At 48.3% G+C, this 18524-nt stretch overlaps 1 protein-coding gene across 13 annotated transcripts in view, besides 2 other annotated features; it reads left to right on the forward strand.

Annotated features, from left to right (window-relative positions):
- Positions 1-18524, forward strand: part of WDFY4 (WDFY family member 4) — a 298084-nt gene that overhangs the window by 76412 nt on the left and 203148 nt on the right. For 12 of the 13 annotated variants that reach the window (XM_011539988.3, NM_001394531.1, NM_001370153.1 and 9 more), the window contains 5 exons: positions 13174-13388; positions 14428-14522; positions 15466-15700; positions 16135-16211; positions 17327-17548. In XM_011539988.3, the coding sequence (XP_011538290.1) occupies positions 13174-13388; positions 14428-14522; positions 15466-15700; positions 16135-16211; positions 17327-17548 (844 nt within the window). Of the gene's footprint in view, positions 1-13173; positions 13389-14427; positions 14523-15465; positions 15701-16134; positions 16212-17326; positions 17549-18524 lie in introns of those variants that run through there. The other variant, XM_017016464.1, reaches the window with a different exon arrangement.
- Positions 4131-4180: an enhancer, noted in NCBI's record as "active region_3340". NCBI's record gives its function as "activates an Ori minimal core promoter by ATAC-STARR-seq in GM12878 lymphoblastoid cells {active_cell/tissue: GM12878}" and the evidence as "EXISTENCE:reporter gene assay evidence [ECO:0000049][PMID:35858748]".
- Positions 4191-4240: an enhancer, noted in NCBI's record as "active region_3341". NCBI's record gives its function as "activates an Ori minimal core promoter by ATAC-STARR-seq in GM12878 lymphoblastoid cells {active_cell/tissue: GM12878}" and the evidence as "EXISTENCE:reporter gene assay evidence [ECO:0000049][PMID:35858748]".

Here is an 18524-nt window from a genome sequence, read left to right on the forward strand (position 1 = left end):
GATAACAAGAAGCCTCTCTCACGTGAGTGGAGGGTGACATGATCAGATTTTGCGTGAAAAACATTACATTGGCTGCTTGGTGGAGAATGGACAGGGAATGAGGGTTGAGAGGAAGAGGCAAGGGGCAAGAGTTAGGAGTCTCTGCCTGCGGTCCATGTGATGTGTGGTGATAGCTGGATTAGGGTGGTGTCTGTGAGAAGGTGTGAAGAAAGGAATTAAGAGACCTGTCCAGAGGCAGAATCACAGGCTTTCAGGAAGAGGAGGCTACAGGTAATGGAGAGACAAAGAGCCAAGGCGACTCTCAAGTGTCTGTCCCGGCAGAACTAACAGCCTCATTGTGGGAAGGAAAACTGGTATGGGTGAGGGCATGGAGTAACAGAACAAGACGAAGTTGGAGTCAGCAGTCTCAAGATAAAGAACAAATACCTTAGAAGTTCCAAGAAAGAGCTGGGCAGAGTTGAGGAAGGCCTGGGAAATGCACCAGTTTAGGTTTATCAGCAGCCAAGGAAAGAGGATTCATTGGCTTGAGCAGCTACTCTGTCCCAGGCTGATGCTTGGCCCTTTCTTGGCTTATTTATTCCTCTTGCAGTTTTGTCGAGGGCATCAATGCCAGTATTTTAACCAATGGAGAAATGTGAGTTCAGACAATGCACATGACTCTCAAGGATGCCCAGTTGTGAACCTGGTATTGAATGTGGCCTTACCTTGGGGCAGGACTCCTGGTCTTCCCTATACATAGAAGTGGCTTCCAGAGGATGAATAGAGGGACCTGGCACTCCCAGGAAGCAATGAGGAGTCCAGCTTTGCTTTGTCCAGGAGTTCAGACGGAGGCAACATGTTTGGGGAAGAAATTGCTACTAGTTGGCATTATTAGTCACAGCCTAAAAATGACAGTGGCCTCATAAAAATATTGCAAGTCCTCTGAGATCAGTGAGAAAAGTGGAGTGGCGGAGCAGAAGCTCTGGGACAGCAACTGTTTCCAGGAAAGGAAATCTGTAGTGTTTGGCGCAGGAGTTAAGAAAAGGCCTGACCCAGTTTCATGTCTCCATGTCCCTTCTTTGGGGAATGGACTTCTTGTTCCTGCTCCTGTTCCCCTGCTGGAGAGTGATGGGAAAGTGCTGTGAAGCCAATGGCAGAGATACACATAACAGTGAGATTTGGGAAAGGGGTAGGCTGGTATAAACTGGGATAGGAAGTTAAAAACATCCGTGTCATTTCTCATGGTTCTGTGGGTCAGGGATTCAGAAGGGCACAACAGGCATGGCCTGTCTGCTCCACATGGTGCTGGTGGGGTTGAACCTCCCAGGATGACCTCTTTAGCTGTGGCACCTCAGCAAGGCTGGCTCCCTGGCAAAGGGTTCCTAAGCTGGCTTAGCTGAGTGGCATACCTGGGGCCTTGGTTGAAGCTGTCAGTGGGATCCTGGGGTCTCCTCTACATAGCCCTCTCCATCTGGCCTCTGCCTGTGTCCCTCCAGGCAGGCTCTTTAGCAGGGCACACAGTGGCTCCGGGCCCCCACAGGCACAAAAGCAGAAGCTGCCAGGCCTGCCAAGGACTTAGGCCCAGGAAAAGCCAGCTTTGGTCAAAGTTAGTCAGGGGCTCGGCTTAGACTTAGTGGGAGGGGACAAAAGCCTCCTCTTCTGTGAGGGGTGACAGGTGTGTGTAGGTGAGAGATGCCTATGGGGAAATATCTTCAAAGATCAGCAGCTGTCATTACCTTACTCATCTAACAAATGGGTAAAAACATTTGACCCCTAAATCCCATCTTGTAGCCCGTGAATTACTTGGAGTCTGGGATCTTACATTCTCTGGCTTGGTATTTAAGCCAGGACCTACCTGGGACAACATGGAGACTATTACACATTAGACATCACCTCTGTGCCAGGAATGCTATTTCTCCAATCTTCACAGCAACCTTTTGAAGTCCATGAGATGCTTCCCATTCTGCAGGTATTTGGGGCTCAGGAAAGTTGTTTGGCTTTCTAAGATTGTGGTGATGGTGAGGGGAAGATCTGAAACACCTCTGGCCCAAGCTTAAGATGTGTTGGATCTTTGCAGCTCTCACAGACTGCAGGGTCATGCATTCTGGGCATGGCACACCTTTCCAGGTACAACAGCCTTATTGTGAGGGCATCTGGCTTCCTTAGCTGTATTTCATACAACGCATTGTACTTGCAATTGGAAAGACACAGCCAGTGGTCTGGGTGGTCTTAGCAGTCAAACAGTTGCTGATGGATGTATTCTGCAAAAATCCACTGCGGCCTCTTACAGGCCTGGAAACTCCATGGATGAGCCTCAGTTTTAGATGAATTCCCTGAGTCATCACATCACCATATGGGGAAGAACCTCTGCTCTTTGCTTATCCTATGACAGTAATTGGACAAATGAAGTATGCAACTGATAATTCCATTTGGAGCGAGTTACTTTTTCTATATTCAGGTCACAATAAGTAATTTAGGAAAAGTCTAATTCTCCCTCGCTGTCTCTCAAATATGCAAATGAAATGTAGTGCATTTTCTCCAGTATTTTCTGCAGATGCCAAATCAGCAGCTATTAAAGTTGGATAATTACAGTAATTAATTTCTGTAAGGGAGTGGGGAAACCTCACAACAACAGATAGAATAGTGAATCAAATGAGAAATGAGACCACACAAGGAAATGCTGAAACAAAACGGCAGGCCTCCGCAGGTTTTGGTGTAGGAAATGGAGCAGAGAGTTTCAGTAGATGTCAGTGTTACTAGCAAGATGGAAAGTATGTTTCCTGTCATCTTCCTTTAGGTCAGCTTGGTGGTTCCTAATACTCCCTACATCTATACCCGCTTTACACTATTCACTTGCTCTCTCTCCTCTATGGATGAGAAACTGATGGCTTTCCAAAGTGCACATGTCATCTTGGAGGCCACAACTTAACCTTATGGGTGTTCTCTTCTAGTTTATTTCCAGTGATGGCCACGTTACATTTGTTCTGTGGTCCTTTCGTTCCAGAGGTTCTTTTCCCCTCCAAAATGCTAGCTCTACGAGCTGCTTTTGGAAACAGATATTCCAGCTGTTTTTCTGCTTCTGGCATCATCATCAATATTAGAAATTGGGTAGTGGGATTTTTACTATGCACAGTGCAAAAATGGAGTCCAGCTCAGTTCTTTTGGAGCTGAGTTGGCCCCAGAAAAAAGTAACTAATTGGGAATAAAGATACTTTCCCTTTCTAGCAGGCTTAGCAGCCATGAGTGTCTGTCATAAGAGATGTGGCCGTGGGCTAGAGCTCTGACCAGTATTGGAAGGACTTTCCAGTCCCAAATGCCATTCCACTTCCTTGAGGGCTACGGCTTCTAATCAGGTCTTAACTGAGGGTGTTTGCTGTGCACCAGGCACTCACAATGCAGAGAGTGGAAAGCCAGGTCTAGTTTAGCAGAGGTTGGAGCCAGACTGTGTAGCTGCCCATGTGATATGTTTGCTTTTGTGAATAATTACAGACCACCTACTATGTGCCTTTGGGGATTCAGAGACAAACGTCACAGGACCTGTAATCTGGGTTTGAGGATGGGAGGCAGGGAAGTGTAGAAGATAGTAAAACAACATCCTGATGGCTATAACCGAGGTTTGCCCACAAGGCCTTGGGACACAGGAGAGGGAAAGACTCAGAGAGGTGGAACACCAGAGCTAGGCTTTAAAGGAAAGGGATGTTTATGCCAGATCAGGTAGAAGAGGAAGGAAAGAGAAGCTCAGACACAGAAAGAAGCATAAAGATGCCTATTTGGGGACTCTGAATAGTTAAGCTGGGCTAGAATAGAACACATGGATGAAAAGGCTAAAATAGAACACATGAATAGAACATATGGATGAGTGGGGCTAGAAAGGTCTCTTGAAGCCACATTGTGGAGGACCTCGAATGTTGAGCTAAGAGAATTTAACTTTATTGGGTTGCCATTCATTGACATCACTGTCAATGTCATCATTGTCATTATCACTGTGTTTACTGAACATTTACCATAGAGGGCAGACTTCAGGCTCTGAAAACAGCAGATTGTGGTCAAGTCTCAGCTGGGTCACCAAGCAGTCACAGAGCCATGGGAAAATTATTTAAACTCTTTGATTCTTAACTTCCTTTGTGTAGTGTGGGGATAATGTCATCTTCTTTGAAATGTTATTGTGAGGATTACATGGAGCAATGCATGGAGCTTAGCATGGTGAGCAGAACATGCACAGGGACACAGGACACACTTGCTAAATGGTGCAGCTACTATCATCAGTTGCTAAAAGCTTTACAAGCATTTTATCATTTAATCATTATAACAACCGTGCATGGTGGATATCAGTAGACCCATTTTGCAGATAAAGAATTGAAACTCACAGGAATTAAGCGACAGAATCAATATTGCTGCACTAGTGAGTGTACGTGCCTGACCTGAGGACTGGACCTCCTGCCCCCCACCAAGTTACCTTTCTCATAGGGAAGTGAGAGGTTACAGAAAGGCAATGGCACAGTCAGGCCAGGACATTAGAGAGACTATTGTCATCCTCAGTCTGCATCTCACGTTATTTTTGGGTGAATTCCAGAGATCTAAAGGCTGCAGTGAAGACACTGCTGCCATGGAAGCCTCCAGAACAGCCTGGCAAGACACAGAGAAGATTGGGTTCAGGGCTGCATGTATCTATCAACTCATTTATGCCTAAATTTAGAAAGGGTGCCATTTTCTGGAATTAGTCTGTATTTCAAACACTGAACTAATTGTATGAGTTTCAAGTAACTAAAATATTGACAGCACTAATAGCCCTGGATAGCATTGCATAAGGGCAGGCTATTTGAAAAGAGCCATTTCCACCAACAAGGAAATTGGTAAAGTAGGACTCTTGCTTTGTTAAATTATAACACATTGGACATCCCAAATACATTCAAAATCTGTTTCCTATGCTCTTTCCCACTGAGCCCCTTACACAAAGTATTTCTGTTATTCCTCAGTGGAAAATCTCAGGTTCTGGTCAAAATCCAGGTGACTTCTCATGGTAGTCTCTTAAAAAGAGCAAATAGGGCCAGTTATGGTGACTCATGCCTGTAATTTCAGCACTTTGGGAGTCCAAGGCAGGAGGATTGTTAGAAGCCAGAAGTTTGAAACCAGCTTAGACAACAGCAAACTCCATCTGTACAAAAAATTTTAAAAAATCAGCCAGGCATGGTGGTGTGCACCTGTAGTCCCAGCTACTTGGAAGAGTGAAACAGGAGGATTGCTTGAGCCCAGGAGGTTGATGCTGCAGTGAGTGAGCCATGATTGTGCCATTGAACTCCAGCCTGGGTGACAGAGTGAGACCTTGTCTCAAAAAAAACCTAAAAACTAAAAACTAAAAAAGCAAACAGACATAATCTCACATGGAGAAGAAGGGATAAAAAGCAAGCTTCCATGGATGTGGAATGGTGGTGTAAGTTAAAGTCAGATGGATTCAGCCCTGGCCTAATTATCAGCTGACCTTGGTAATGTTCCTTTTCCATGACATACGTAGGCTACCTTGTTTCTCTGTATCTCAATTTCAACTACTCAGATTTGGCCTGGATCACAGAGATCACAGACTCAACATCTCGGGTCCAGAGAGGTAATGAACATGCATAAGTGAAGCCAGGTGAATACAGTAGTCAGTGGTGGAGCTTGTGGCCAAAGGAGAGCACTTGCTCTTCTAAAGGTGTGTACATTTAATTAAGGAGACATGAAACAGAAGCAGAAGCCCACCCAAATGAAGCCCACCAAATGAAACACTTCTCTAGGCCATCAATTTATGACCCATATGAGATACTAAATTCCAGCTTTTTATAATCAGTGCATGATGCAGTATCAAAATCATGAGCCTTGGAGTAAGGCTTGTGTTGGCATGGCAGAGCGGCCACCCATTAGCTATGTGGCCTGATGAGATTGATGGAACCCTTTTAAGTCTCAGTGTTCTCATCTGCAAAATGGGTGTGATGATATTTTCCCATTGAGAAAAGTAGAAGAGAGCATAGTTGTAAAGTCCTTAGTACAGTTCCTGCCCTGTGTATGGGTACATCAGAGGCTGGCTCCCCACGCCTGCTCCCTTCCCTTCTAGCTCTGACAGTCTGTGTTCTGGGTCGTGGTATATAAAATTCTGAAACTATTAAGTAGAAGGTAATACATTTTAGGTATATTTCCAACTGACATTACACTATTGATAAATTAATAACAGGAAGTTGATATTGAACTGTATGTTAATATATCTGCTTATGAGTCAGAAGACTCAGTACTTTCTCTGGCTGGTTCTGCACTTTATCAGTGATCTAAGAGAAGCTGAGTGTAGCTGGCTTAAGGTAGGGAGGGGCAGTTAGTCATCAGATGTTAAAATGGGGAGGAGAAGGGTCCCTGTCAGCTTGAGCGAGGGATCAGAATCCATGGGATCAAAATTCAGCAGAGACAATGAGGCCTGTGCCATGTCTGAATGCATGTCTATGCTAGGTGGGGAAGGACAGAAGAGTGTTAAGTCCTAGCAGGTTTAGGGCAAGGTCAGTAATAGTCCCAAGTGAAGTGAGGACATCATATAATGAATTTCACCTTTTGGGGGTGGGTGAGCTTAGCGTCCAGCTGGGTGGGCAGGCTCTGAGCTGGGGCACAGACATGTCCACTTCCAGGACCCCCAGAAAGTCAGGACCAAGCTGGGAGGTCCCGGGCAGGCAGGCTCTCTACAGATGGGGACCTTCTAGAGCAACAAGCCCTACTTTCATGCTGGGGACCACACTGGGGACTGTTGTACCAGGGCCTGGAATGGGTGTTAGGATACTGATTTGGATTAGCCTGGGCCTGGGACCAGAGCTTAGAATGGGGACAACAAATTGGAGGGTAGTCCTGTCATCTGGAGCATCTGGTGGAGGCTGCTTCAGAGACTTGGGGGCTTCTCAGATCAGCTGTACCAGAAGTGGGTGAATCTCCAAGCAGTTCTCAAGAGCAAGGTCAGTGCTCGGTCTCCAGGCTTCCCAGCCCTCCAGGACTGGCAATCTGAGGAGTTCAGGGCTCTATGCACAGTGTTTGCCTTGCCCATGCGCTGGCATGGGGCAGGGTATGGCCAGCAGCACAGCGAGCCCCTTTGCAGGGCACCCGAGGGCCCGAATGTTGCAACTCTGCCTCATGACCCCCCAACCTTTTGAAAGGCTCTGCTTACTCTCACCTGCCCCGCCTTCACATGTGCTGTTTCCTTTCCCCGAAAGCCCATTTTCCTCACCTGCCTAGCTCTCTCTTCATTATCCTTCAACGCTTCATTGGCACATCACTCTTTCTGACTATCTGTCAGCCCTCTGGGTTAGGCGCGCCTATTGTGTTTTAGAGTAGCCTGTGCTTACTAGGCGGCTATTCTGTCTAATGTCTAAGGCAGAGATGGGCACTAGGGAAACCAAGGTGAAGAGTCACGGGTCGAGCAGCCACCCACGGTGTTGTGGGGGTGGGAGAGGAGAAGAGAGAGAGAGAGAGAGAGAGAGAGAGAGAGAACCAGCCATAGTGTGAAATTTAACATGATTGAAGTATGGACAGTGCTGGTTGGGAAAGTCAGAAAAAGTTTCTTGGATGAAGGGACACGTGACTTGCCTCTTGAGTAATAAGCAGGAGCTCAGCAAAGGGATGGGATTGGAAAGGACATTCCCAGCTTCAGGCATTACTGGAAAAGGGCATGGTGTTTAGCAGAAGCTGAGACTGTCACTACGGCTGCAGTACAGAGGGGACAAAAGTGGAGGATAGGAAGAAAAATGGGAAAGAGAGAAATATGCTGTAGATGTGAGATCCTGGACTTCTGTTTACAGGACGAATTGCCCACCATCTGCATGTAATTTGGAAAGGAAACAGAAAGTTTGGAGCAGGCACCCACCCATCCCCATGGTTACAGATCTGCCTAGTTACGTTGAGGAAGCCAGGCCCTTTACATGTGGATTCTGCTGGTTCCATGGGGGTTGGAATCTCTTACACCTAAACCACGATCATAAACTCCCAAGCCTACCAGGCCATAAGGGCACTGTGAAGCAGCATATCAGGCTGAGGGACCATGGCAAAATGGAAAGTTCATGCTCATATAAAGAGAGACATAATTCTAAGTAGGCAGTGGTAAAAGCCATAACTTGTCAAGTAAAGCTCATCCGTAGGCCCCATTTATTGCTGGCATTTCACTTACAGTCTTTTGATAAAGAGCTTAAGTCACTTAAAGTCTATCATCTCTCTTCAAAATCATGAAGAAAAGGACATTTTGACCAAATTGGAACAAATCATTAATCCAAGTTTGAGTAGCTCAGTAAAGCCCCTAGTGCTTTCAGAGTGTCTGGGGCAGCAGGCACTGGGCCTCTCTGGTGGTTTTCATTTCTGTGTGAGAATGACTTGGTTCATATGCAGAAGACGCACATATCTTGGAATGCTGAACCCAACACCCATGCCTCTTTAGGGGACCTATTGCTCCAGGACCCAGCGCTCGCTGGGCTTTGGGGACCATATTAATCTGGACCAAGAGAGAAAGTGGGGAACAGAGAGAGAGCGATACATAAGAATGAACATCCACAGACAGACAGCGTGGACTTAAAGGCTAGGTCGTTAAGTGAAGAATGCAGAAAATTCCTTAAGGCTGCCCCGCAAATCACTCTGTGCTAATTTGCCTTGCGGGCCCAGCCCGCTGGCCAACCTGGTGACCCTGTGCTCTTACCACTGAGTCCTAATTGCACCTCCATCCCGTCTCCTGCGTTGGAAGTAATATGCGTTAGGAAAATCAATCCATTTGTAGGAGGAGAAACCACACTGGTTTCCTGCTACTGCTATCTTCACTAAAACCCCATTTTACTGGAACTAACGTTGAAAAAAACAGCGCATTTTATTCAAAACAAGGCAATATTGGTATTGACAGAGCTGCAGTGATAATGAGGACGATCAATTTTCTCTCCTCCATTACGGGGTATTGAGCAATTTTGGAGTAAACTTGTGGCATCATTAGACAAGATCAGCATTTCTCCCTTTTGAAAACTTTCAGTTTTTCTTTTTTGCATATTTAGATTTTAAGTATTCCTGCTATGTTGGGGGGAAAGAAGCAAAACCAAAACAAACCAGAACAAACCCAGAAGTCCCCAAAGCAATAAGTGAAGTGCTGGTAATAAAAACTGGAAATCATAGACATTTCTTTTTAATTCTTTTGAATAATACATTGTGATGTTATTTTTGCCTTTTGGTTCATACAGACTGCATCCCAACTCTCACCCTAAATTGAAATAATGCAGTTACCACATAAAATAATCCAAGTTTTGGGAGATGAGATATTCAAGGCAAGAGGGTGGATGTTACTTTTTTGTTTTGAGAAGAGAAGCAGGGGCTGGGCTTAGGTGGATGAAGGAAGAGAGAGTTGGAGCCTCAGAAAAAAGGCCTTGGGAAGGGAGTCAAGGACTTCGGGTGGATTTCCATGGGGAAGAGTGAAAGTGATGGAATAGTTCAGAGCAAATTAACTTTGGCACTTCTGCTTTCAGTTTCTGATCCTTGTTGGGCTACACATGTCCATCTGCCAGTTCAGGCTGGCTGTGCAGATGCCACATTCTGGGGAAGGGGACCCTGTCTTCCAGGCAAGACCTCTCCTCCATATCAGTGACATCATGTGCTCAGGAAAACAGCAATGCTGGCAAATGGTCACATTTCAGAATGGCAAAATGCAGCCTGGGAAGGATGTCCCCCTGGAAAGTTAATCTAATGTAGTTTTATCCCCCTTCCCCCAGTGCTCACCTTTTAAACCAGAAAAGTTATTGAAGATGTCTTAGAGATGGGGATTTCTCTGAATGCCATCAGTGTGAGGCAAGAGCTACAGGGCCCATGTGTTTGGAAGGCAGGCGGGAGGCTGTGACAGGGGCCTGGGTGAGCCATCCAATTTTTAAAACAATCTAGAAATTGTTGATGAACAGTGTAAATATCTTTCTTCATACATTTTAATCCTTGAAACATATGTGCTACAAAACTGTGTTAGCTACATATGGAAGAACACTATCTTATTTCTGTCACTTAGTGCTAGCAACATACTCGACCATTTTTAGGAGGGAACCCCTCAAATGACTGCCCGCGTGGAGAGGAGATGGTGGAATGAGGTGACTCTGAGCAAGAGTCATGTGCTCTTGGCAATTTCCATCTCTGGGCTTAGCTTCCCCATCTGTAAAACGGGTATGATAATTGTGCCTCCCTCACAGGCTTCTCACAGTGATTGCATAATCCATACATGTCAAAATGCTTAGAAAAGGGCCTGCTGCAGCCTAAATACCCAGGAAATATTCTCATCCCAGGATAAAATTTGGCCCTCACAGTAGATGCCAGGCCTTGAGTCCCTTCTAACTTCAAGAGCCTTGTGAAATGTGTGAGAGGCTGCAGGGACCACCCCATCTGCTGTGCTCGATGTTGTAAATTCTCTGCTGGAGCACGTTTCAAACTGTGCTGGGACAATGTGTCTGCCCACGTGTATCACCTTTAATCTGTGAATCCCTTGAAAGCAGGGACAGTGTCTTATTCATCTTTAAACGCCTAGAGCTTTACCCAGAAGTTGATGTTGAGAGCCACTTCATTCTTGTTTGAGAAAGAATAGGAAGAGAGGAAGCAGGGAGGACTCCAAGAAAGCTCTTACTGGGTGGTGTAACAGGTGGTCTGTGATGTGAAGAGACCAGACCCTAGTCCTCCTTAGAAAGAGATTATTCAGGTAGTGCATTCACAGCTTCTCCTGGCTTCACTTTGGTGGTCTAGAACTCATTTACATGGCCATTGATCTCCTTTCTTGAAACTACAAACTGCGGCAAAGGTATAAAACATGGAAAGAATGCTGGTGCCTCAGGTCGGGTTCCCTGGGAGTGGAGCCTGAGACAGGGGTCCAGGTATGTGGGATTTGTTGAGGGAAGGACTCGGGAGGGAAGGAGAGTGAGGGAAGCCGGGCAGGGAAAGAGCTGAAGGAGGATGCGCTCACAGCAAAGTCTTGTCTCAGCCGGAGCCCCTGGGATTCTGAGGCATGAATTGCACAACACAGTCCCGAGGGCACTGGCCTCATTGGCTCCAGCCTGGAGTATGTGTGTGTGTGCACACAGGCATGTATGGTGTGTGTGGATGTGTGTGTGGACACATGTGCGTGTACCTGTGTGTATGGACGCGTGTGCGTGTGTATGTAAGTAGGGGGCATGTAAGTGTGTGTGTATGTGTATTTGGGTGGGTAGGGCTCCATGGCCCCTGGGCAGGGCAGCTCTTACCTAGTGGAGGGCAGTTCTTTTTTTTTTTTTTTTTTGCATTTTCTTTTTTTTTTTTTTTATTATACTTTAAGTTTTAGGGTACATGTGCACATTGTGCAGGTTAGTTACATATGTATACATGTGCCATGCTGGTGCGCTGCACCCACTAACTCGTCATCTAGCATTAGGTATATCTCCCAATGCTATCCCTCCCCCTTACCCCCACCCCACCACAGTCCCCAGAGTGTGCTATTCCCCTTCCTGTGTCCATGTGATCTCATTGTTCAATTCCCACCTATGAGTGAGAATATGCGGTGTTTGGTTTTTTGTTCTTGCGATAGTTTACTGAGAATGGTGATTTCCAATTTCATCCATGTCCCTACAAAGGACATGAACTCATCATTTTTTATGGCTGCATAGTATTCCATGGTGTATATGTGCCACATTTTCTTAATCCAGTCTATCATTGTTGGACTTTTGGGTTGGTTCCAAGTCTTTGCTATTGTGAATAATGCCGCAATAAACATACGTGTGCATGTGTCTTTATAGCAGCATGAGAAAAAAATGCTCATCATCACTGGCCATCAGAGAAATGCAAATCAAAACCACAATGAGATACCATCTCACACCAGTTAGAATGGCAATCATTAAAAAGTCAGGAAACAACAGGTGCTGGAGAGGATGTGGAGAAATAGGAACACTTTTACACTGTTGGTGGGACTGTAAACTAGTTCAACCATTGTGGAGGGCAGTTCTGCAGAGAAGGGGAAGCCGTGGCAGGTATACCTCTCATCTGGAGAAGGAGATCTGCATGGAGCACAGTAGCATCCACTGGGACAAGGAAAATTCCATTAAGATCTAACCTGTATCCCTCTCACTTGATACGACATCTTATCCAGCAACAAAAGAGAATGTGGACAGTCCTAAGAGTTTTTGTAAAGGAACATCCCACCCAATCCAAACCCTTTATCCAGCCTGGGAAGGATAATTCCAAAGATTTATCTTTTACAATGAAAGAATGATTGTAAAAGCAATGTGTGGTATTAGGCTCAAATATTTACTGAGCCCAGTCTATGCACTCTTTTCTATGTGCTTCAAAGGACATAAGCAGAGGGAAGTAGCTGGAAACCTAGTTCAGGGTTAAGATAAGAGCACAGCTATTCATGTGGCAGCATGTGCTTAGGACTGAGGGACAGGCACAGGATGATGGGAGGGTGGGCGGAGGGAGATGGCACCCAGGGGATGAGAGTGGCTTCAGCAAACGCTTCTCCCCAGAGACTTTAGTTGGCCTGCAGACTTTGAGTGTGGTTTGAGATGTCTGTGGTGGGGCCTGTATCTGTCAAGGCAGAGTGTGTATGTTTGGTAAGTGGTACTTCTTTTAGTCTTGTACTCCCAGGCAGATTCCACCTTTTACTCCGGGGGTGCGAACTCCAACACAGGAACTGTTAGGGGAGTAAAGCCAAGCTGGGGGGGATGTTGGACCCCTGGAGGGCACAGCTCCCACCCAGCACCAGCCACCTTCCCCCCACAGAGGTGCAAGCCAGCATGGCCAGATCGTCCCATCTTTTGAGAGAGGCCACAAGTCTGGATTTTTATGTGACATCTTCAGACTTTTCAATGCTAGCAGTTAATTCAGAAACTGCTGAAATATTGTGTGGGTCAAACACAGCACGTCTAAGAGGCAGACGCAGCCTCCTGCCTGCTGGCATGTGGCCTCCATCTTTAGCCATTGACCTCTCCCCACACTGACCTGGGCAGCTTGTGTCCTGCCAGAGGCTGCCTCCCACAGACTTGCCCCCCGCCAGGTGAGGAGGGCACTGGAAGAACCCTGAGACAGGCGTGGGTGTAGTGGGGATGGGGTATGGTGGGCGCAGTCTCCTTGTTCCACAACTCACCCCAGGCCAAGTTGGAGCCTATAAAAGCTGTCCACAAGGTGTTCTGCCCTGGAGGGCTCACAGCTTGCTTTGGTCACTCTTAGCTTTCCGAGGAGATCCAGTGCTCCCTGGCCAGTCATATCCAGTCCCTGGTGAAGTCGGAGAAGAACCGCCAGGTCATGTGCGAAGCAGGCTTGCTTGGGACCCTCATGGCCTCCTGCCACAGGGCCCTGGTCACCAGTGGCAGCCCCCTCCACTCACGCCTCATCAGGATCTTTGAGAAGCTCGCTTCCCAGGCCATTGAACCGGATGTGCTAAGGTACCACATGCTGCATATTCAGTGCCGCCAAGCTGGGCAGCCATGTCCTTTGCAGGGCAGGGGTTGCACAATGGGCAGTGGAGAGACTGCAGGGACAGATGGAGGGCACGGCTCTGTCCTGGCATTCAAGGCTGGAGTCCATGGCTGAGCCTTGGGTCTGTGCCAGGCAGTGTGCAGGTGCCCACAAAGCAGACATAGCCCCCTCTAATGGATCACGTGGGGGCTGGAGGGGGCTCCAAGGAAGTGGAGCTGCATTCCGAGGCCTGTAGAGTTCACTAGACAAAGAGAGGAGGGAACTGGGCCTGGAAGGCTCTGCCGGGAGGGGTGGGGCTGGGAGGGGCTGACTGTGTCCTGTAGGGAGTTGGGCAGTAAGCATGTAGGGACTGCAGACATGGAGGAGGATGGGGCAGAACCCACCTGGATCCTCCAGGGGGCTTTCCTGCTGTCAGCCTCTACATGAAGCCACATTCCTGGAGAGCCATGGCAGGGAGAGAAAGTGCAAAGGTGCACAGGGTGGGAAGCAGGGAGCAGACGTGGAAGACAAGAGAGCAGAGGGAAGGGAAGCTACTGGGGAGGGCAGGAGTCTCCTATGCCACCTGGAGTGCTGAGGGCCATGCACAGAGCGGGGGGCCCTGCTGCTTATACACAGGAGCAAGTGTAGAGGGCGCACAGACAGCCTTTCCAGCCAGCAGACATGGGACCCAGGGGCGGGCACGACAGCTGCCAGAGGAGGCTGCTGGTTATAGTGCTGCATGGGAAATTCCATTAGAAACTTATAAACAATTACTACAAATTTACTTTGTGACATTATTTTTTGTTATGACATCCATCTTGAGGCTCCTAAACTTACCAGCTCTCTGGTCTGGTCTGGCTGGCAGGGCAGAGACACCCTGTCTCCACATTGCTTTCAGAAAGGGTGTTCCAGTGGGGCTGGGAGGTCAGGGAGCTCCAGGCATCTAGGACAGTTGTCAGGATAAAGTTGGAGAACACTGTTGCTAGTAAAATGTCTTCATTTTTTCCTCTTGTATGTTATGTTCAGACAGTTTCTAGGTCTTGGAATTCCCTCATCTCTGTCGGCCACAACAAAAATCCTTGATTCATCTCACACACACAGAGGCAACCCTGGGTGCTCAGGTGAGGACAGTGGCAAGAACGGGGCAGGTTAATGGGAAGTAAAAGATGATAGGCATTCCTGCTGAGGGATCCTTTACAACAGGTGGGAAAGCAAACAGGTTTAAACATGGTTTTGTCTGCTGCTCAATGCAGCAACTGAGGAAAAAGCAAAGAAATTCCTGGTCTCTGGAGAAAGACCATATCCAGATGGAGAAAGATGAACCCCCACCCAGACATATAAGACAGATGATCCCTTTGGGTTCCAGATCATGGAAGCAGAGACAGAGTTTCCTTCATGACACAGCAGTACGTGGCGCTGCACTAGACAGAGGTGTGCAGGGAAGGCTTCTGTACAGCTCACAGCTCAAGGGCATGTCAGAGCCTTGGAGGCCCAAGATGCAGGTGGTACCCCTGTGTCAGGCCTAGTACCTGGGGAATGTTGGCCAGGGAACCAGCTTAGAGAAAAGAAACTCGTGGACATCTTGAATGTAAGATCACATAAGACCTCAAGGAAACAGGCAGGCCCAGTGGAGAAGCAAGGGTGCGGGATCAGGCTTGGGGCTGACAGCTGCGGTGGGAGCCCAGAGCTTACAAGGAGAGGCTGCTGTGAAGGAAAGTGTGGGCTTTGTGAGCAGACACAAAGCTCCAGTGAGTAACTCCAATGGGGCAAGCCAGAGACAGAGGTGGCAGCAGTAGAATGTGCTATGCTGGAAAAGGGATCTGTGCTGGAATGAAAGAAAAGTTTCTAGAAGGAGCAGGTTAGCAACACCATTCCTTGTTATCAGACTCAGCAGGGGGCCCGGGCTGGGGGCCAGGGAGCCACCCTCGCTGGTGCTTAGGAAGTACCTGGTGACTGTGCGAAACTCTCTTTCTGGGCTGCGGCAGATACTTTGGGGTTATTGTCAGAAGCGAGACAGAAATGCTTTGAGCAGAGACACATCTCTTCTCTTGCTTGCTGCCCTAGGGTCACAGACTGCACAGGGCTTGGCTGAGGGGCCCTGGCCAGCTGCCCCAGATGCTGGGCTGCACCCTGGAGTCACACAGGCCCCGCAGCCCTTGGGGGAATCCCAGGATTCAACTACTGCTCTTCAGACGGCGCTGAGCCTCATCTCCATGACCTCCCCACGCAACCTGCAGCCTCAGAGGGCAGCCCTGGCCCCATCGTTTGTGGAATTTGACATGTCCGTGGAAGGTTATGGGTATGACAGGCTTTCACATATTTAAAATGCACTTTATTAATTTTGCAGTGCCTCTGATGAATTATAATATTGATTGCAAACTTGTAGTTCCCATTGAATCTCACCACTCAGCAGAGGAAAATGTCTGGGTCATGGACACCCGCCTACTCAGCGGCCTCCCAGGGGCTGTGTCCCCAGCTATGGAGGGCCAAGACCCTCTTTTCCCTGGTGTGGCTGCATTCTGGAACACCCTCCCATCCTGCCTGCAGTGCAATTCCTTCCCTTAGGCATCCTACCAGCACCAGCTGCAGTCCATCCTTGGGACCTTATGGTCTAAGGAGGGTTACAGTGCCGGCAGGAGGGTAGAGTGGGAAGATGTCATGGCCCAGACTAGCTGTGTCAGTGCAAGAGATTGGCTTGCAGTCCAATGATCTGAGACAATTTTCTATTTCCAGCTGTTTGTTTATTCCAACCCTGTCCACAGTTATGGGAACCAGCACTGAGTACTCTGTCTCTGGAGGAATTGGGACAGGTAGGTGTTTTTCCCAGATGGTTTAGCTCTCCATCCCTTCCAAAGTATGAGTCTTCAGATAGCCTTGATTGCAGATTTTTACTTGGTGTTTCAATAAAGTGTGAGCTGTGCTGGGCATGGTGGCTCACACCTGTAATACTGCAATTTGGGAGGCCAAGACAGGAGGATTGTTTGAGGCCAGGAGTTCCAGGCTGCAGTGAACTATGATTGAACCACTGCACTCCAACCTGGGCTACAGTGTAAGACCCAGTTTCAAAAAAAGAAAAGCAAACATGAGTCTTGCCTTGGTCCTGAGTATCTGCAGATGAGTTGTTCTTCAACTTTGCTCCTCTTTTAGAGCAAGATGTTCTGTTCATTGTGCATCCCAAGGGTCCAGCCTATAGCTAGGGACTCAATTGACATTGAAAAATTGGCTCATTTCGCTGGTGACTGATGTAGGCTGAGATGGACACATTACCTGCCTTAGATCTCTCTCTAGAGAGAAATATGAGTTGGGCTGATGGCCGTTGAGAATAGACCAATCTTTGGCAAGTGGCTTCTATGCACAGCACTGCACTTAGCTGAAAACACGCTGGGTGGGACAGTGCAAGTGCCTGATGCTGCCTGAGCCACACGCTCTGTTAGGAGAATTGGGTTTGGGGTTTCTATGGGATCATGGGTGCTGGGGAGCCATTGCCTTCATGACGTTTTTCCATGTGAGTTGGCACCAAGTCTGAGGACACAGCAGCTGATCCTGCCTGTTCTGTGAGGACAATGGACCTGTCTATATCGCCAACCCTGTTATGTGATGGGAGGGCACATGGCATTCCTAGATTGGTGCCCTTTCCTATCCAAGGTTCAGCTGAGCTAGGCCAAGGTCCTCTGCCCCACAGAGCACACTGCCTGGCTATAGATCAGCTGACCAGGAGCCCACGTGTGACGGACCTCAGGGAGATCGAGATCTTCTCTGCTCCCTTGGCAAGGCAGCATGCCATAATGGGGAGGAGACAACTGGTGATTAGGCAAGACACCCAGTAGGTGCTGCACCTGGGCTAAATCAGCACCATAGTGAATCTGAACATGCATGCTCAGCAGGGCAGAACAAAGCCTGAGGGCATGCCTGTGTTCCCACCCAGGTGCCACCAGACCGTTCCCTCCTCCTGGAGGTCTGACCTTCTCCTGCTGGTTCCTGATCAGCCGGCATGGAGCTGCCACTGAGGGCCACCCGCTGCGCTTCCTGACGTTGGTGCGCCACCTGGCCAGGACTGAGCAACCCTTTGTTTGCTTCTCCGTCAGCCTCTGCCCAGACGACCTCTCCTTGGTTGTTTCTACAGAAGAGAAGGAGTTTCAGCCTCTGGGTAAGGTGCTGGGATCCAAAGCCAGTTTCATCCACATGTGGGGGAAATGGGGCTAAGTCAGAAGCTCTCAACACAGGTGTGGTTAGAAACCTGGTGACCTTCTGTTTCTCCTCATCCTTTGAAATTGCTCCCTTGGGTTCCATACCTGGTGAAAGGTCTACAATATTTGTTGTGGTTCACTGTGGCCTGGGCTCTAGGCTTGTAAGTGTCAGGCAGATGAGGCCCCAGCCCTTGGCACAGCTTCAGAGATGATGCTCAGTGGCTTTTCAGAAACTTCGCCCTGGCAGAACAGTCACAATGGGACCCAGGGCTTTGCCTTGCTGGGACACAGGCTGCATCCTCTCCTGAGTGAGGTTTGTGAAGAACACACACAATTTAGCTGGAGCCGAAGCAGCTACAGACATATAGGCGCTCCCACATATGCTCAACCCCAAACCCAGAAGGCTGGCCCATGCTTGGCATGGCGCCCAGGGCCACCCCTCCTTTGGCAGTGCTAGAGGCCAGCCCTGGCTCTGCCCTTTGGAGCCCAGCGTTGTTCTCCAGGCTCATTTGCCTGAGATGGTCAAGTCCAGTGGATTCTGTCCACTTGTTCTTCTCCTGTGTCCTGAGAGTGTCACTGTTTCATAGGGAAAAACATTGGGAGGCCCTATGAAACAGTGGAAGCGGCTGACACCCTTGTACACAGCACAACTGCCTATCCAACTCTCTGGGACTCGGCCTACAATGGAGTCTCTGTGGAGGTAGTCTACCTTGGGATAGACCTGAAGCCTGGCTTCTGGGTTTGAATCCTGGCTGTATGACCTTGGGCAAGTCACCCAACCTCTCTGTGCCTCAGGATGGTAAATTGGGCATGTATGAGCGCCTACCTCACAGGGCTGTGAACATGACATGAGTTGATATTTGTAACATGCTTAAAACTGGCACAAAGGAAGAGCTCAAAGAATGACTGCTGCTATTGCTGCTGCTGTTGTCATTT

This window comes from Homo sapiens, chromosome 10 (assembly GCF_000001405.40).
Source record: "Homo sapiens chromosome 10, GRCh38.p14 Primary Assembly".
NCBI classification, from domain to species: domain Eukaryota; kingdom Metazoa; phylum Chordata; class Mammalia; order Primates; family Hominidae; genus Homo; species Homo sapiens.